Raw genomic sequence first — 16,015 nt, 5'->3', positions numbered from 1 at the left:
GCCCCTGCCAACTGTCTGATCTGTTTACTGTCACTATTATTTTGTCTTTTCCAAAATGTCATATAAATGACATCATACGTTTTGAGCCTAGCTTCATTCACTTAGAATAATATGTTTTAGATTCATCCATATTCTTGTATCTACTAGCAGTCCTTTCTCATTTAATACTGAATAGTACCCAATTGTATGGATCTATCATCGTTTGTTTATCCATTCACCAGTTGAAGGGCATTTCTGTTGTTTCCTATTTTGTTGATTATGAAAAAGCCATCATAAACTTTCATGTACAGGTTTTGACATGAATATAAATTGTCTATTCACTTGGGAAAATACCTCAGAGTAAAACTGATTGGTTATGTGGTAAGTGTATGTCTAGGTTTATAAAACTTTGCCAGACTTTTCCATATTGACTGAACCATTTTGCATTCCCAATTTTATTTCCATTTTGCATTATTTTAAGCTGTAAAGAATAGGCTTTTTAAATTTTAACTCAAAATGGATGAAATATTGCCTGAGGCCTTACATTTCAAGTCTTCCCAATTAACATGCAAAGAAAAAATAAGAGTTTTTTAAAGGAAACAGGATTATTCATGCCAATAAAGAAGGAGGTACAATTCCAAACAGAAAGTCATCTAAGAAAACACATACATGCATACATGCTTAGAGCTGGAGACTGAAAACATTATCACAATTAAGTGCTGTCTACATGGTAACATTGAAAATGTTCTTACAAAATTGCTTAAAAATTTTTTGAGATATGTAAATTATAAAGATTTATTTTATTTACTATGGAATATAGCTTTTAATCTCTAAGCCCTTTTATACTCATTTGTCATCATAGGTAATGATATGAAAATTCCCACTTAACAGTTTATAAAAAATAAAAAAAATCATTTTCTTTGTCAGACACGTGAGTCATAAACTTTGAGTCATAAAGTCTTTGTGTCAAAATATAATTTTTGGAAAGCTACAAATATGATGCCCACAAATATAGAATGATATATATGTTAACTTAATAAGAAAGTTTGCGAGATAGTAAATCTGATTCAAAAGGCATTTGAAGAATAGTTAATGTTAGAACATGTCTATCTTGTTGAAATATATAAGATTACAAGAAATCTTCATTCTGTTGATATGATGTATCACCTTGTTTGATGTGTATGCTGAACCATCCTTTTATCTGTGGGCCACCTTAACCATTTTTAAGGTGTACAGTTCAACAGCATTAAGTACACTCATATTGTTGTGTTGCCATCACCACCATCCATCTTCAGAACTTTTTTTTTTTTTTTTTTTTTGAGATGGAGTCTCACTCTGTCATCCAGACTGGAGTGCAATGGAATGGTCTCAGCTCACTGCAACCTCCGCCTTGCAGGTTCAACCGATTCTCCCACCTCAGCCTCCTGAGTAGCTGGGACTACAGGTGCGTGCCACCACACCTGGCTAATTTTTCTTTTATATTTTTGGTAGAGACGGGGTTTCACTATGTTGACCAGGCTGGTCTCGAACTCCTGACCTCGTGGTCCGCCCGCCTCAGCCTCCCAAAGTGCTGGGATTACAGTCGTGAGCCACCGCGCCCAGCCTGCTGTTTTTTAGAACAAGAAAAATTGTGGTATTAACAAATTTTAGGAGACTGAATCAAACACTCAGTTTTGGATTAAAAGTGAAGTGCTTACTAGCCATCCAGGCAGAAAGGTCACATCAGCAATTAGCTAAATGAGTTTGTGCTTCAGAGGAAGTCATGTCCTTGGGAGTTGATATGTATTTAAACCTATGGGATGATGAAATTGCCAGAGAATATTGAATGAGAAGGAAAGGAGGCTTGAATGGAGCCACAAGCCACTTCAATATTTAGATGTCACGTTGAAGAGAAGAAGTTGGCCAAGTAAAGACTGAATCCAGTGGAGTACTTAGAAAACCTGTTGGTTGTAGTGGCCTGAGAGTAAAAAATGATGCTCCCAAAAGGAGAGAATGATCCAATTCTGTCAAACGTGGCTGAATGTGTGAGCAGGATGAAGATAAAGAAGTGATACTGAGTTTGGTATCACTTCTTTATCTTCATCCTGCTCACACATTCAGCCACGTTTGACAGAATTGGATCATTCTGAAGCTGGAAACCATCATTCTCAGCAAACTATCGCAAGGACAAAAAACCAAACACCGCATGTTCTCACTCATAGGCGGGAATTGAACAATGAGAACACTGGGACACAGGAAGGGGAACATCACACACCGGGGCCTGTTGTGGGGTGGGGTGAGTGGGGAGGGATAGCATTAAGAGATATACCTAATGTAAATGACGAGTTAATGGGTGCAGCACACCAACATGGCACATGTATACATATGTAACAAACCTGCACGTTGTGCACATGTACCCTAGAACTTAAAGTATAATAAAAAAAAAAAAAAAAAAAAAAAAAAATATATATATATATATATATATATATATATATATATATATATATATATATATGAAGTGATACTGAGTTTGGTGTAGGAACATTATTGCTGAATCTGACAAGCACAATTGCAGTAATGTGGTGCTGAGGGCAGAGAAGACTGATTACAGTGGCATGAGCCATAGATGGTAGAAAAGGATGTGGAAACTTTGGGTTTAGACACATCTTTCAAGGTGATTTGCTGTGAGAATTGGGGGAACTGTAAGGGAAATGTAATTTAGACAGAAGACTTCCCTTAGATAGAAGATATTGGAGCATGTGTGTAACCTATAGTAATTTTCCAGTAGAGAGATGATGTAGAAGAGAATCAGGTAATTGCAAGACCAATTTCTTTGGGTATTAAGAGAATAATATATGAAGAGCATTAGTGGAGGATTTGGCCTCTTATAGGCATTTTCAAAGATGAAAAGCTATGTGAAGATGTATGGTAAATTGGTAGTGGAAAATGAGGAAGTCCTGTATGATTGCTTCTGGTTTTCCATTGATGTATGAGGCAATTTCAGAAGCTGAGAGTGAAGGTATAAAATGGTATTTTCAGAGAATAAGAAAGAGGTTGTATTAGGGCTGTGCAAGACACTGTGTTCTTGGTGCAGAAGACTGAATATTGCAAAGAGCCAACATTCCCAAATTAATTTATGAGTTAAATATAACCACAATGATTATAATAATGGGATTTTTTTGACATTTGGCAGATGAATGAAAAGCTTATCAGAAATAACAGGTAATAAAACATAATGAAAGGTCAGTGATGAGAAACAGAAAAGGAGAGCCTTGAGAGACTACTGGAACTAGAGAGCTAGCTCAGAAAAACTCTTCATTACTATATGTATAAGAAGTCAGTATATGGTCAAGCAATTACAATAAATAATAATATATTTTTAAAGGTTACTAAAAATGCTAACAAGAAAATATTTGAAAACATAATAAAGTCTCAACATACATAATACAGCTAAATAATTTGGAGATGAAATAAAAAGTTAAATATCATTAACAAAATTTTTAAGCATATGTAAAAGAAAGATATGTAAGTATTTTCTGAAATAAGAATGAAAATTTTAAGAGTAAAATTCTCTGAAAATTTTAAAGAATAATATAGATTTTTATAACTACATAAATATTGTGATACTTCCCTATCTAACAAATCCTACCATGTAGCTAAATTAAAAAACTGAAAAAAATTGCCACATACATAAGTGTTAAATTACTTGTGACTTTCATCTATAAAGATCTGCACAACATCATTATAAAAAACGAAATAATGTAAATTAAAACATCTGTTTTATTTCCTTGAAGTATTTAATAAATTAGCAAAGATAAGACAGAATTAGAAATAACATAGTAAGGCGGGCATTCTCACATAATGCTAGCCAGAAAACAAAGTGTTTCTAACTTTCTGAAAACCAATTTGGCTCTTTGTAATAAGAATTTTAAATAGAGTCTTGATCTTTATCACAGTAATTTCACTTTTAGAAATTTGATCTAAGATAAAATTAGACCCTCATATAAGAATATTTGGAGGAGTAAAACTAAATGTCAGCAAATGCCTACATATATGCTAGAGAACTCATCTGATAAAATATTATATAATCATTAAAATGAAGTTTTTCCTAGACACATACAACCTACCAAGACTGAAACATTTAACAAAGAACTAATGCTGATCTTTCTCAAAATCTTTCAAAAAAAATTAAAAGGAGAGTGTACTTCCCAGCTCATTTTACAAGGCCAGTATTACCCTGATACCAACACCAGAGAAGAACAATACAAGAAAAGAAAATTACAGGCCAATATCTCTGATAAGCATAGATGCAAGACTCCTCAACCAAATACCAGCAAACAAAATTCAACAGCCTATTAAAAGGATCATTCACCATGATCAACTGGGATTTATCCCAGTGATGCAAGGATGACTTAATATATGCAAATAAATGATATAATACACCACATTTATAGGCTAGAGGACAAAAACTGTATGATCATCTTGATATATGCAGAGAAGACATTTTATAAAATTCAACATCTTTTCATGAGAAAAACTCAACAAATTACATATTGAAAGAATGTACCTCAACATAATAAAGGCCATATATTACAAGCCCACATCTGACATCATACTTAGTGGAGAAAAGTTGAAATCTTTCCTCCAGTATCAGGAAAAAGACAAGCATGCCCACTCTTGCCATTTGTATTCAACATAGTACTGGAAGTCCTGGCCAGGGCAATCAGGCAAAAGAAAGAAATAGGCATTCAAGTTGGAAAGAAAAAAGTAAATTTTCTCTATTTGTAAATGCTCATTTATATAAAAAACCCAAAATACTAAAAAAAACTGTTAGAACTAAAAAATTCAGTAAGGTTGCAAGATACAAAATCAATGTATAAAAAGCACTTGCATTTCTATAGACTAAAAATGAACTATCTGAAAAGGAAATTAAGGAAATGATCCCATCCGCAATAGCCACAACATAAAATAATAAATTAATTAAAGATAAAATAAATGATAAAAAAGATTAAAGATAGCCACAAAATAAAATAATAAAACAAATTAAAATACTTAAAAATAAATTTAACCAAGGATGTGAAAGATTTGTACACTGAAACTATAAAACATTGATGAAGGAAATTGAAGGAGATACAGAAAATGGAAATATATCCCACGTTCATAAATTGGAAAAATTAATATTGTTAAAATATCCATACTACCAAAAGCAATCTATAGCTTCAATTCAATCCTTACAAAAATTTCAATGACATTCTATACAGAAATATAAAATACAATTATAAAATTCATATGGAATCACAAAAGACCCCAACTAACAGAAGCAATCTTGAGCAAAAAGAACAAAGCCAGAGGCATCACATTACCTGATTTCAAAATATGCTTGCAAAACTATAGTAATGAAAACAGGATGATAGCATAAAAACCTACACATACACCAATGGAATAGAATGAAATAGAGACCTATAAATCAATCCATACAGCTTTGGTCAATTGATTTTTGACAAAGGTGCCAGGAAAACATAACGGGGAAAGAGCAGTTTTTTTGGTAAGGAGTGTTAGAAAACGTAGACATCCACATGCAGAAAAATGAAATTAGACCCTATCTTATACCACATACAAAAAACTCAACTCAAAATGGGTTAAAGACTTAAATGTAAGGCCTGAAACTGTAAAACTACTAGAATAAAATATAGGAGAATAGATCCATGACATTGGTCTGAGCAAAGATTTTTTTAATATGACCCCAAAAACACAGGGAAAAATAGGCAAATGGGACTACATCAAACTAAAATGCTTCTGCACAGCAAAGGAGACAATTATGAAAGTGATAAGACAACCTATGGAATGAGAGAATATATTTGCAAACCATACATTTGATAAGAGATTTAAACCAAAATATGTAAGAAACTCAATAGTAAGAAAACAGTCTGATTAAAGAATGAGCGGCTGGGCGCGGTGGCTCACGCCTGTAATCCCAGCACTTTGGGAGGCCAAGGCGGGCAGATCACAAGGTCAGGAGATCGAGACCATCCTGGCTAACATAGTGAAACCCCGTCTCTACTAAAAATACAAAAAATTAGCCGCACGTGGTGGCGGGCGCCTGTAGACCCAGCTACTTGGGAGGCTGAGGCAGGAGAATGGTGTGAATCTGGGAGGCAGAGTTGCAGTGAGCCAAGATCGCACCACTGTACTCCAGTCTGGGCAACAGAGGGAGACTCCGTCTCAAAAAAAAAAAAAAAAAAGAATGAGGAAAGAAAATCAAAGACATTTCTCAAGAGAGGACATAAAAATGGCCAACAAGTATATGAAAAATGTTCAACATTACTAATCATCAGGAAAATGCAAATCAAAACCACAATGAGATATCACTTCCCATCTGTTAGAATGGCTATCATCAAAAGGACAAAAGATAACAAGTGTTGGCAAAAATATGGAGAAAAGGGCACACTTAAACAATGTGGGTGAGAATGTAAATTGGTACAGACATTAGGGAAAGCAGTATGGAGGTTCCTTAAAAAAATAAAAATAGAACTACCATATGATCCAGCAATACTACTACTGGGTATATACCCAAAGGATAGGAAATCAGCATGTGGAGGAGATATCTGCACTCTCATGTTAATAGCATCCTTATTCTCAATAGCCAAGCTATGAAATCAACCTAAGTGTCCATCAACTGATGAATGAATAAAGAAAATGTCATATATATGTGTGTGTATATATATATATACACACACACACACACACACACACACACACACACACACACACATTGGAATACCACTTAGCTTTTTTTAAAAAAAGGAAATGCTATAGTTTGTGACAACATAGATGAACTTGGTGGATATTATGTCAAGTAAAGCAAGCGAAACTCAGAAAGAAAGATACTACATGTTCTCTTCATATGTGGAATCTAAAAGGGTTGAACTCACAAAAGCAGAGAGTACAATGGTGGTTACCAGGGGACAGTAGAGGTGCAGGACATTGGGAAGATGTTGGTCATGGGATACAAAACTTCAGTTATACGGGAAGGGTAAGTTTAAGAGATCTATTGTACAACATAGTAACTACAGTTAGTAGCCATGTATTATATTCTTGAAATTGTTCACAGTATATTTTAGTGTACTTACCACACAAAAAAGATAAATGTATGAGGCAATGCCAATGTTAATTAGCTCAATTTATCCATTCTACAATGTATACCTATTGCAAAACGTCATGTGGTACACGATAAATATATACAATTTTTACTTTTCAACTAAAAATTTTTAAAGGAACCTATTACAAAAATGAGAGGAATTTAGAGAAATAGTATGAAAGAAAAGGAAAACCTAGGGATTATTTTCTGAGCAGAGAAGTCATGATCATCTTTGAAAGCTAAACCAAAGGATTGAGAGAGGGATTAGGATACAAGAAAAATACATAAATGAAGGAGTAAAGGCAGAGAGAATAGGGAATGAAGATGTAAAAGGAGGAATCTCAGTAATAATTGGAGAAGGCAACCCTAAAGTGGAGAAGGAGAACTTACTCCTCTGAAATAAAAGGCTGAGGAGTAAAAATAGTTCCTATATAAGACAATGAAAAGGTGTAAGAAAGTTTTCATCTGAGAAACTTAATCATCTGTGATCTTTACTTTTACCTATGAAATAGAAAGAAAGGTTGAATGTCAGGTATGTAGGGACTAATTGATTATTACCATAAACTCAGCTCCCAGAATGCAAGCTAGGACCTTGATAATATCCTCACCTTCCCATAAGGTCATGAAACAGTGAGAGAAATCTAATGTAGCTGATGCCATCTTACTTCTGACCTCACAAGCTAACTGCCTTTGCTCATTCCTACTGTGGACCAAGCCAATCACAAAAAGAATTTAGATTATACTTTAACTTTAGAACTAATGACTCTCTCACTTTTGAAACAGACCCCCAAGGAGGTAAGGAAGTATGCATACAAGTAACAATGATTAAAGATTTATAGAAACAAGGTGGACTTGACAAGTAGTTGACCATGAACAAAGAAGTTTTGCCACCTCCTCAGACCTTTGCTGATGCCCAGACATCTGTGTTCACCAGTCACCTCCTGGTCTTAGCCCCATCCCTTTTCCCCCTCCCTCTAACATAAAAGGAGCCTAAAAATTAATCAACTTTAGATAGTTCTTTAGGATGTTAGTCCACCATCTTCTCAGTTTGCTGGCTTTCTGAAATAAAGTTGTCTTCCTTGCCCCAACACCTTTTCTCTCCACTTATTGGCTGTCGTGTGGCAAGTAGTAGAAGATTTGGACTCGACCACATTTAGCAGTCCAGCTCTCTGCCTCCTTTCACTATAACTATTAACGCAAATTTCATGTCCATCATTTTCTTTCTTCATTTATATGTAGTTTTATTGAATGTACACATATTTATAGGAAGTTTATTTTCACTTAAGTTCTTAACACTGCAAAAGAAGTACCACGATATATAATCCTAAGGTGTCTCTTGCTTCCCTTAATATTAGTTTCCTAAGTTGCTTTTTTTGTTGTATGCTCTGGTTCCTTTGTTTAGATTCCTACATAGTAACCCTTTGGTGCATATCTATCTATTCCACTGTTGATGGGCATAAAGGTCGTTTCTAATTTTTATTGTACTGTGAATAATGCTGCTCTTATAATTTACATGTTTAAAACCGTCTTTTCAGTACATTCCTTTTATAATTAAAAAATAAAAAGATTTTTATATTAGTTCTTCTGTTGCACTTCTGAAATAATTTTGAGTATATATTTTATATAAACAGAAAGTGGAAACTTATTTTTATTTTTTTTAAGTTCAAAGAGAAAAGATATGATAACTCCGGAAGAAATTTTCAGCATTTCCTGGTGAAATGGCTGATTAAAGAGATACTAAAGAATGAGGAAGATTAAGCACAGAATTGGGTGAGAGATGGGAAAGCCTGAACTAAAAGCAGAAGTGAGTGCAAGCAGGTGCTGTGTCATCATCCCAAAGCTCTGAGCAGCTCAGCTGACTGATCACAGAATATGTAGGCCCATGAACAAATGAACACACACAAGAGGGAGTAGAAAGGAGAAACAAAGAACTGAAAAATAAATTAGTGCTGGATCCTCATTAAAGCTCAGTGAAGGAAGACCTGATATTAACAGAAGCATAGTTAACTCCCTCTAGTTGGTAATAGCCCAGGCTAGTGGCACAAAGAGGGATATGTGAGTGGCAGCATCTATAGAACCCATGAGACAGACTTTATATTTTGGACAGAGGGCTGGACAGGGAGGTGTTGCTTTTCAGATTGGTTACTGACACTATCTATTTTGTCAGAAACAGCCTCTGTCTGGTTTTCCGGTCAGTGATTTCTAGGTTAAAATTATAGTTTTGGTTTTGTAAGGCAGGAGAAAGATCTTAGACTCCAATGAGTGGTGAGACACAGCAAGCCCATGGCGGGCAGAACAAGGCCTCAAGGTTCAGAGCTCATTTGGTGGTAAAGTTTGAAGAAATGGCAGGCCAGGAGACATGCCCAAGGGGATTTATTAAAATCCCATTTCCTGGAGCAATATTTTCAGGGGAGGTCATGTCAGCTGAGAGGGTGAGACTATGAACCCTCCCCCAGGACAGGCCTCACTGTTGGCGCAGAGACAGTAAGGCTGGGCATTGGTGGGTCTCTTTTAAGCAGCTCTTCTTATACCTCTTTTCTCACATTCCTGCTGTGCTCCTCTTTTATCATGAAACACAGCATGAGGGGAATATATGAAATCTGAGGACCTGGACTTAAGAACTCAGCTAGAACCATTCCAAAGCAGTAAGGACTTTCTCGCAAGGACAGTGAATGAGAGAACTTTGGAAGAGATTCAGCTCCTCACTTCTGCAGGATCCTGCCCTAGGTTCTCAGCTGCCTGTCTGCATCTATCTCTACTTCCAGAGAGGACTTGCAGTGCCAGTGACTGGAGGAGCCTTTGATCTCTGATCCTAGAGACAGCCATACACACACCTACATTCATCCTGGCCAGAAGAAGCAACTTTTCTTTCTTTGGCTTCTTGAACCTCTTTACCTGGAAGCTATGCCCCTTCCCATATGAGGTAAGGGCTCTGTCTCCGTTTCAAGGCAATATGGGAAGTCTGGAAGTCCTGAGAAACAGGGTCAAGACCTTACACTGCTCTCCTTCTCAGATTCTCTAGTTCCTCAGGCTTTATGATTCACTCACTCCCATCTATATCTTATCAACCTTGTACATGTACCCATCTTGCACATGTAGGAACAACCAAAATAATTCTATGCCATTGGCCAGCCGTGAGTTCCTAGAATTCCTGATGATGGCCTCCTGGTAAAAGTCTCAGTACTTACCTTTGTTACATCTAGATTTTCCTGGCCTCCAGTAGTTTGATGTGAGTCCCCAAATGAATAGTACCTCAAAGGAGGACTATCTAAAATATGCTGAAGTGCCTTTCCCCTGCAGGACTGCTTGGCGCTAAGTCCAGTGCCACACAAAAAGCCAAATGAAGTAAATACAAAAAATAAATATACTGAGCAGAGATGAAAAAGAAAAACTTATAAAATATACTTCCAAAAATTTAGCTCTACCTTGTTAATTGACTGACCATTTTCCATAAACTATAGCAATGCCTCTTAATATCAGCCTCTGCTGACTTCTCTTGGTTTGAAATACCCGCAACCACCAGCAGTTTTCCAGAATGAAGCTCTTCCTCTGTAGGCCCAGTGTGTGTTCTCTGGCCTTTCCCTTTAGATGACCCCAGAGAGAACTCAGTAAATGGAAAGAAGGGAAAACAATAGTCCCGTATCAGAGGGAGGAGGTAGGTATGTAGGATCCTGAGTCCTGGTTACACCACCTTACCCAAGCCCTGATTTTTCTTCTCTTTGAAATCCTGTCCAAACATCTGGTGCAGGAAGCTAGAAGAATGTGCCCAGCTAATTATGTTCCTCCTTTTATTTACCTGTCCATTCATCTTTTTATTCAAGAAAAATGAAGGCATTTCAAATCTAATATTTAGCAGAAATAGTGCTTAGAATTGACTTTGGACTTGTGTTTTTGTTGTCAACAGACAAATAAGGTTTTCCGGTCAGTGGGTCAGTGGTTCCTAGGTTAAAATTATAGTTTTGATTTTGTAAGGCAGGAGAAAATTCTTAGACTACATTGCGTGGTGAAACACAGTTTTATACAGGGTATTTTTCTGGGGGTTTCTTGTCCAGACTTCACTGGGCAAAAGTGCAAGGAGGACATTCATGTACTGTATTTTAAGGTTCTGACTTTCACGGTACCATCCCTCACTTTTTTTTTTTTAATTATATCCTGACCCATTTTGATTTAGCCACCTCCTATTTATCCTCAGCCTTTAGTCTGTATACCACTTCCTTGGTGAATCCTTTCCTGAAAACTCACTTATATGTTCTCCTAGTGTATTTTCTTTCATGTATTTTTTTTTCACTGGATGTATGTAGGTGTTTGTGGGATCGATTTTTCACATCTACACAGTTGCCCAAGTGCAGTGCCTGAGATATCATAGGTCCTTAGTAAATATTTATTGAATGAATGAAAGGAGCAGGATCAGATGCGCCTTCCAATGTCAGGTTTTTGTATGACCTTACCACTTAAAGGTTCTAACTCTGAGTTGACCAGGATAGGGACATAAATGGATAGTTGGAGAAGTAGGTGCAGATTATGGAAGGGAAAGATGAATAATTTGATCAAGAATTATTTGTCTCTTCCAAAAGGCCTCCTAAGTCTTCCATCCGACTGTGAAAAAACTGCATTCACAAAAAGCGAGCCAAGTGAACGCTGTCCCACATGGACCTCACACTCCACTCCTCCTCCCCAACCCCTAGCAGCAGAGCTATCATATGGATTCAGGGTTCAGCAGAAACACCATTTTCCTTGTATTCCTAAGATTTGTGGGGAGAAATCTTCTTCTCACCTTGTGTGTGTTGCTGTGGCTCACAGGTAACGCTATTGCTTTGGGCCGTTTCTACAATGTCTCCTCCTTTGTAGCTCACCCCTTGTATCATGTGCCCTAAACACAAACACCTGCCATGCCACCACAAATCTCATGTATTGCCTTTATTCCTGCCTGTTTCTGAGAAAACATCTTATTATCTCAGCAAACACCTTTTGTACTGTTCCTCTAGATTTACCTCTAGAATCGATACCGCCATGACTGTTAAATTCAGCCCAGAATTCTCTTTCCCTCCAGCAGAGCAGCACTTGAAGAGTCCAGGTGATCAAGCAGCCCAAGAACCCAGAGATTCTCCTACTGAGGAAAGTAATCAACAACAATGAGACTGGTTTAAGGGAGAAGACAGCAAAGAGGTTTTTTATAAATAAAATTTTAAAAACTGAATTGGAATTCCAACTACATTTTAAGCAGAAAAATAGCTAGATCTTAAACCAATCCCCAGTATATTTGTTCATTGTGAAGAAAGAGATGCTTTCATCTATCTACAAAGATGTTTGCTTGGGCTTATTCTTCAGGATACCTTATTTGAAGGGATTTCTAAATGATTACTATTAACAACATGTCAAAATACCTGATACCAGTTTAGCTGATGGTTTATTTCAATAAAAGCATTCAGAAATCAGAGGCATACTAAGAAATGGAAAATATATCATATTATGGGATTCCTATTGGCCAATGCACAGTGACCTAGAACAATCCAAAGCTAGAGTGAACACCTTTAGAAAAGCTTCCACTGATAATATATTTGGTTCTAGGCAACTAAAAAAACACATCATGGAGCTCCGGAACTCCACCTTGGGAAGCGGCTTCATCTTGGTGGGGATTCTGAATGACAGTGGGTCTCCTGAACTGCTCTATGCTACATTTACAATCCTATACATGTTGGCACTGACCAGCAATGGTCTGCTGCTCCTGGCCATCACCATAGAAGCCCGGCTCCACATGCCCATGTACCTCCTGCTTGGGCAGCTCTCTCTCATGGACCTCCTGTTCACATCTGTTGTCACTCCCAAGGCCCTTGCGGACTTTCTGCGCAGAGAAAACACTATCTCCTTTGGAGGCTGTGCACTTCAGATGTTCCTGGCACTGACAATGGGTAGCGCTGAGGACCTCCTACTGGCCTTCATGGCCTATGACAGGTATGTGGCCATTTGTCATCCTCTGAAATACATGACCCTCATGAGCCCAAGAGTCTGCTGGATCATGGTGGCCACATCCTGGATCCTGGCATCCCTGATTGCTATAGGACATACCATGTACACTATGCACCTCCCTTTCTGTGTGTCCTGGGAAATCAGGCATCTGCTCTGTGAGATCCCACCCTTGCTGAAGTTGGCCTGTGCTGATACCTCCAGGTATGAGCTTATAATATACGTGACAGGTGTGACTTTCCTCTTGCTCCCCATTTCTGCCATTGTGGCCTCCTACACACTAGTCCTATTCACTGTGCTTCGTATGCCATCAAATGAGGGGAGGAAGAAAGCCCTTGTCACCTGCTCTTCCCACCTGATTGTGGTCGGGATGTTCTATGGAGCTGCCACATTCATGTATGTCTTGCCCAGTTCCTTCCACAGCCCCAAACAAGACAACATCATCTCTGTTTTCTACACAATTGTCACTCCAGCCCTGAATCCACTCATCTACAGCCTGAGGAATAAGGAGGTCATGCGGGCCTTGAGGAGGGTCCTGGGAAAATACATACTGCTGGCACATTCCACGCTCTAGGGAAGGATCATGGCTTGCCTCTCACCATTCCTCCTCCAGATAAAATTCTCTACTCACTCATTCCTGCTCCAAATAAAATTCTCTACTCACTCATTCTTCAATACTGTACTCTGAGATGATAGATACATTTTTTAAATTTTACTTTTATTTTCAACTGTGAATCTGGTGTGTACAATGATCTTGAGTTAAACTCATTTGGCACACATCATCCTGACTTTGGAAACCCATGTTATAAAAATAACCAGATGGGGGAAAAGCCTTGAATGGGTGTTGTAGACTCACTCTGTGGTAGGCATCGTCCTGACACATTACCAAGTAGACATGGTAGGGGATTAGCTTTCCATTTTAACATCACATAGCAGTGAGAAGCAGCAGTAGTTTTGGACTGACCAAATTCCAATAGCCTCTCAGCATCAGAGGAGGACTACTCCCTTTGAAGCAGATTCTTAAACTACTAATAGAGGGAAGAATTTTCAGAAGATATATTAGACTTCCTGTTTATTAAGTAGATGATTATTTGAGCAGTTAGTGGAAATGAATAAGAGTTATGTGACTGCATTTGTACTCTAGACCTAAGGGACCTTCACATTGGTTACTTGAGTAATGATAAATAATTACATTGAAAGAGTGTGGCCAGGCGCAGTAGCTCACGCCTGTAATCCAAGCACTTTGGGAGGCTGAGGTGGGCAGATCACCTGAGGTAAGGAGTTCAAGACCAGCCTGGCCAACGTGTGGAACCCGGGTCTCTACTAAAAATACAAAAATGAGCGGGGCATAGTTGTGGGTGCCTGTAATCCCAGCTACTCGGGAGGCTGAGGCAGGAGAATTGCTTGACCCTGGGAGGCGGAGGTCGCAGTGAGCTGAGATCGCGCCACTGCACTCCAGCCTGAGCAACAGAGAGAGACTCCGTTTCAATAAATAAATAAATAAATAGAAAGAAAGAATGGAAAAGGATAAAGAAAGATATTTCTACTTGGAAATTTTGACAGTCTTTTTGAAAATGGGCATTTTTACATTGCCTAAAATTAAAACTAAAATAAAGAATGAATAAAATAGAATTGAAAGTACCAGTTTTAAAGTGAGTACAATAACAATGAGAGAAATTTGTTGGGAATATTGTCTAAGTTTTTTAAAATGTGGACTTGCAGATATGTGAATGTGTTTTTAAACATTAAAACAATTGAAAGAGGTTATATTCTTGAGGTGAGTGTATGTACATGTGTGTTTCCATAGAAAAGGAAGTATAAAATTTATAATTTGCTTTCTAGCTAGCCTAAATAAGCCTTATTTTTTTTATTCTACTCATCAGTGTGGGAAGATTTATAGCAAAATTTGGGAACTTAAATTTGTTGAATGCAGAATTCCCAAAATATCTTGGCTTACATAGGTGTTATTATTCTTGAGAATAGTGCTTTGTCAAAACACAATAATTCTTGTTTTCTTTATAGAAATAATATTACATTATTTAATCTATAAAGCTAAACCATAAAAAATAAAAGATAAAGCTAATCTATAAAATTAATCCAACTTTGTTATAAAAACTGAGAAAATTAAAAAAATTAGAATAAATCAAAAATCACTTATAAATTTTTCTTTTTTGTTGCACATATATGCATTTTACTGAATTTAAATGTCCATGATGATGAAGGTCCTGTGTTTTTTCCATTTGAAATTTGGTGAATCTTCTTCCTTGCTATGAGGGAATATTTTAGAGTAGTGATGAGAAAGCAGACCAGAGTGCCCGCATTTGAATCCCTCTCTTCCTTTGGTCATCTATGCATCTTTGAACGCTAAATTAAACTCTTTGTACCTTAGTCTGCTGATGTTAAAAGTGGTGATATTTACTGGCCTGCTCTTGTGATATTGTTGGGTAGATTAAATAAGATAATTAATATCAGGTACTGAGACCACAGCTTAGTAAACTGTGCTTAAAACATTTTGGCTGCTATATGGATAAATAGTAAAAAGCCTTTTTAAAAAATCTTATTTTATTATTTCCTTTTAGAAATGAAACATTTGTTTATTATTTTTATTGACAAAATATGTATGTCTTAATGTAGTAAAACATGATGTTTTGAAATATGTATACTTTATGGAATTGCTAAATCAAGCCAACTAACATATGCTTTACTCCACATACTTATCTTTTTTGCATTAGGAAAAGTTAAAATCTACTTTCTCAGCAATTTTCAAGCACACAATATAATCTGATTAACTATAATTGCCATGATCTACAATAAATCTCTTGAACTTATTCCTCCTGTCTAACTGAAGTTTTGTGTCCTTTCACCAGCATCTCCCAAATCCCCCTACCTCAACATTTGGTAACCACCATTTTACTCTCTGTTTCTGTAAATTCAGCTTACAGGTTCTGCATATAA

General features: G+C 37.0%; 1 protein-coding gene across 2 annotated transcripts; it reads left to right on the top strand.

Annotated features, from left to right (window-relative positions):
• Window positions 1-9,664: 9,664 nt before the first annotated feature.
• OR2AG2 (olfactory receptor family 2 subfamily AG member 2) lies at window positions 9,665-16,015 on the top strand. 2 transcript variants are annotated; one of them, NM_001386053.1, is made up of 2 exons: window positions 9,665-10,019; window positions 12,150-16,015. In NM_001386053.1, exon 2 carries the CDS (start codon window positions 12,684-12,686, stop codon window positions 13,632-13,634), a length of 951 nt encoding a protein of 316 aa, NP_001372982.1. In that variant the 5' UTR covers window positions 9,665-10,019; window positions 12,150-12,683; the 3' UTR covers window positions 13,635-16,015. The 2 variants fall into 2 exon arrangements, with proteins under 2 accessions (NP_001372982.1, NP_001004490.1); NM_001004490.2 differs by having other exon boundaries at window positions 12,147-16,015.

The sequence above is a fragment of the Homo sapiens genome, chromosome 11, assembly GCF_000001405.40.
Source record: "Homo sapiens chromosome 11, GRCh38.p14 Primary Assembly".
NCBI classification, from domain to species: Eukaryota; Metazoa; Chordata; class Mammalia; order Primates; family Hominidae; genus Homo; species Homo sapiens.
Note: the sequence above shows the minus strand (reverse complement) of the source record. Positions and strands in the feature narration are given on the sequence as shown.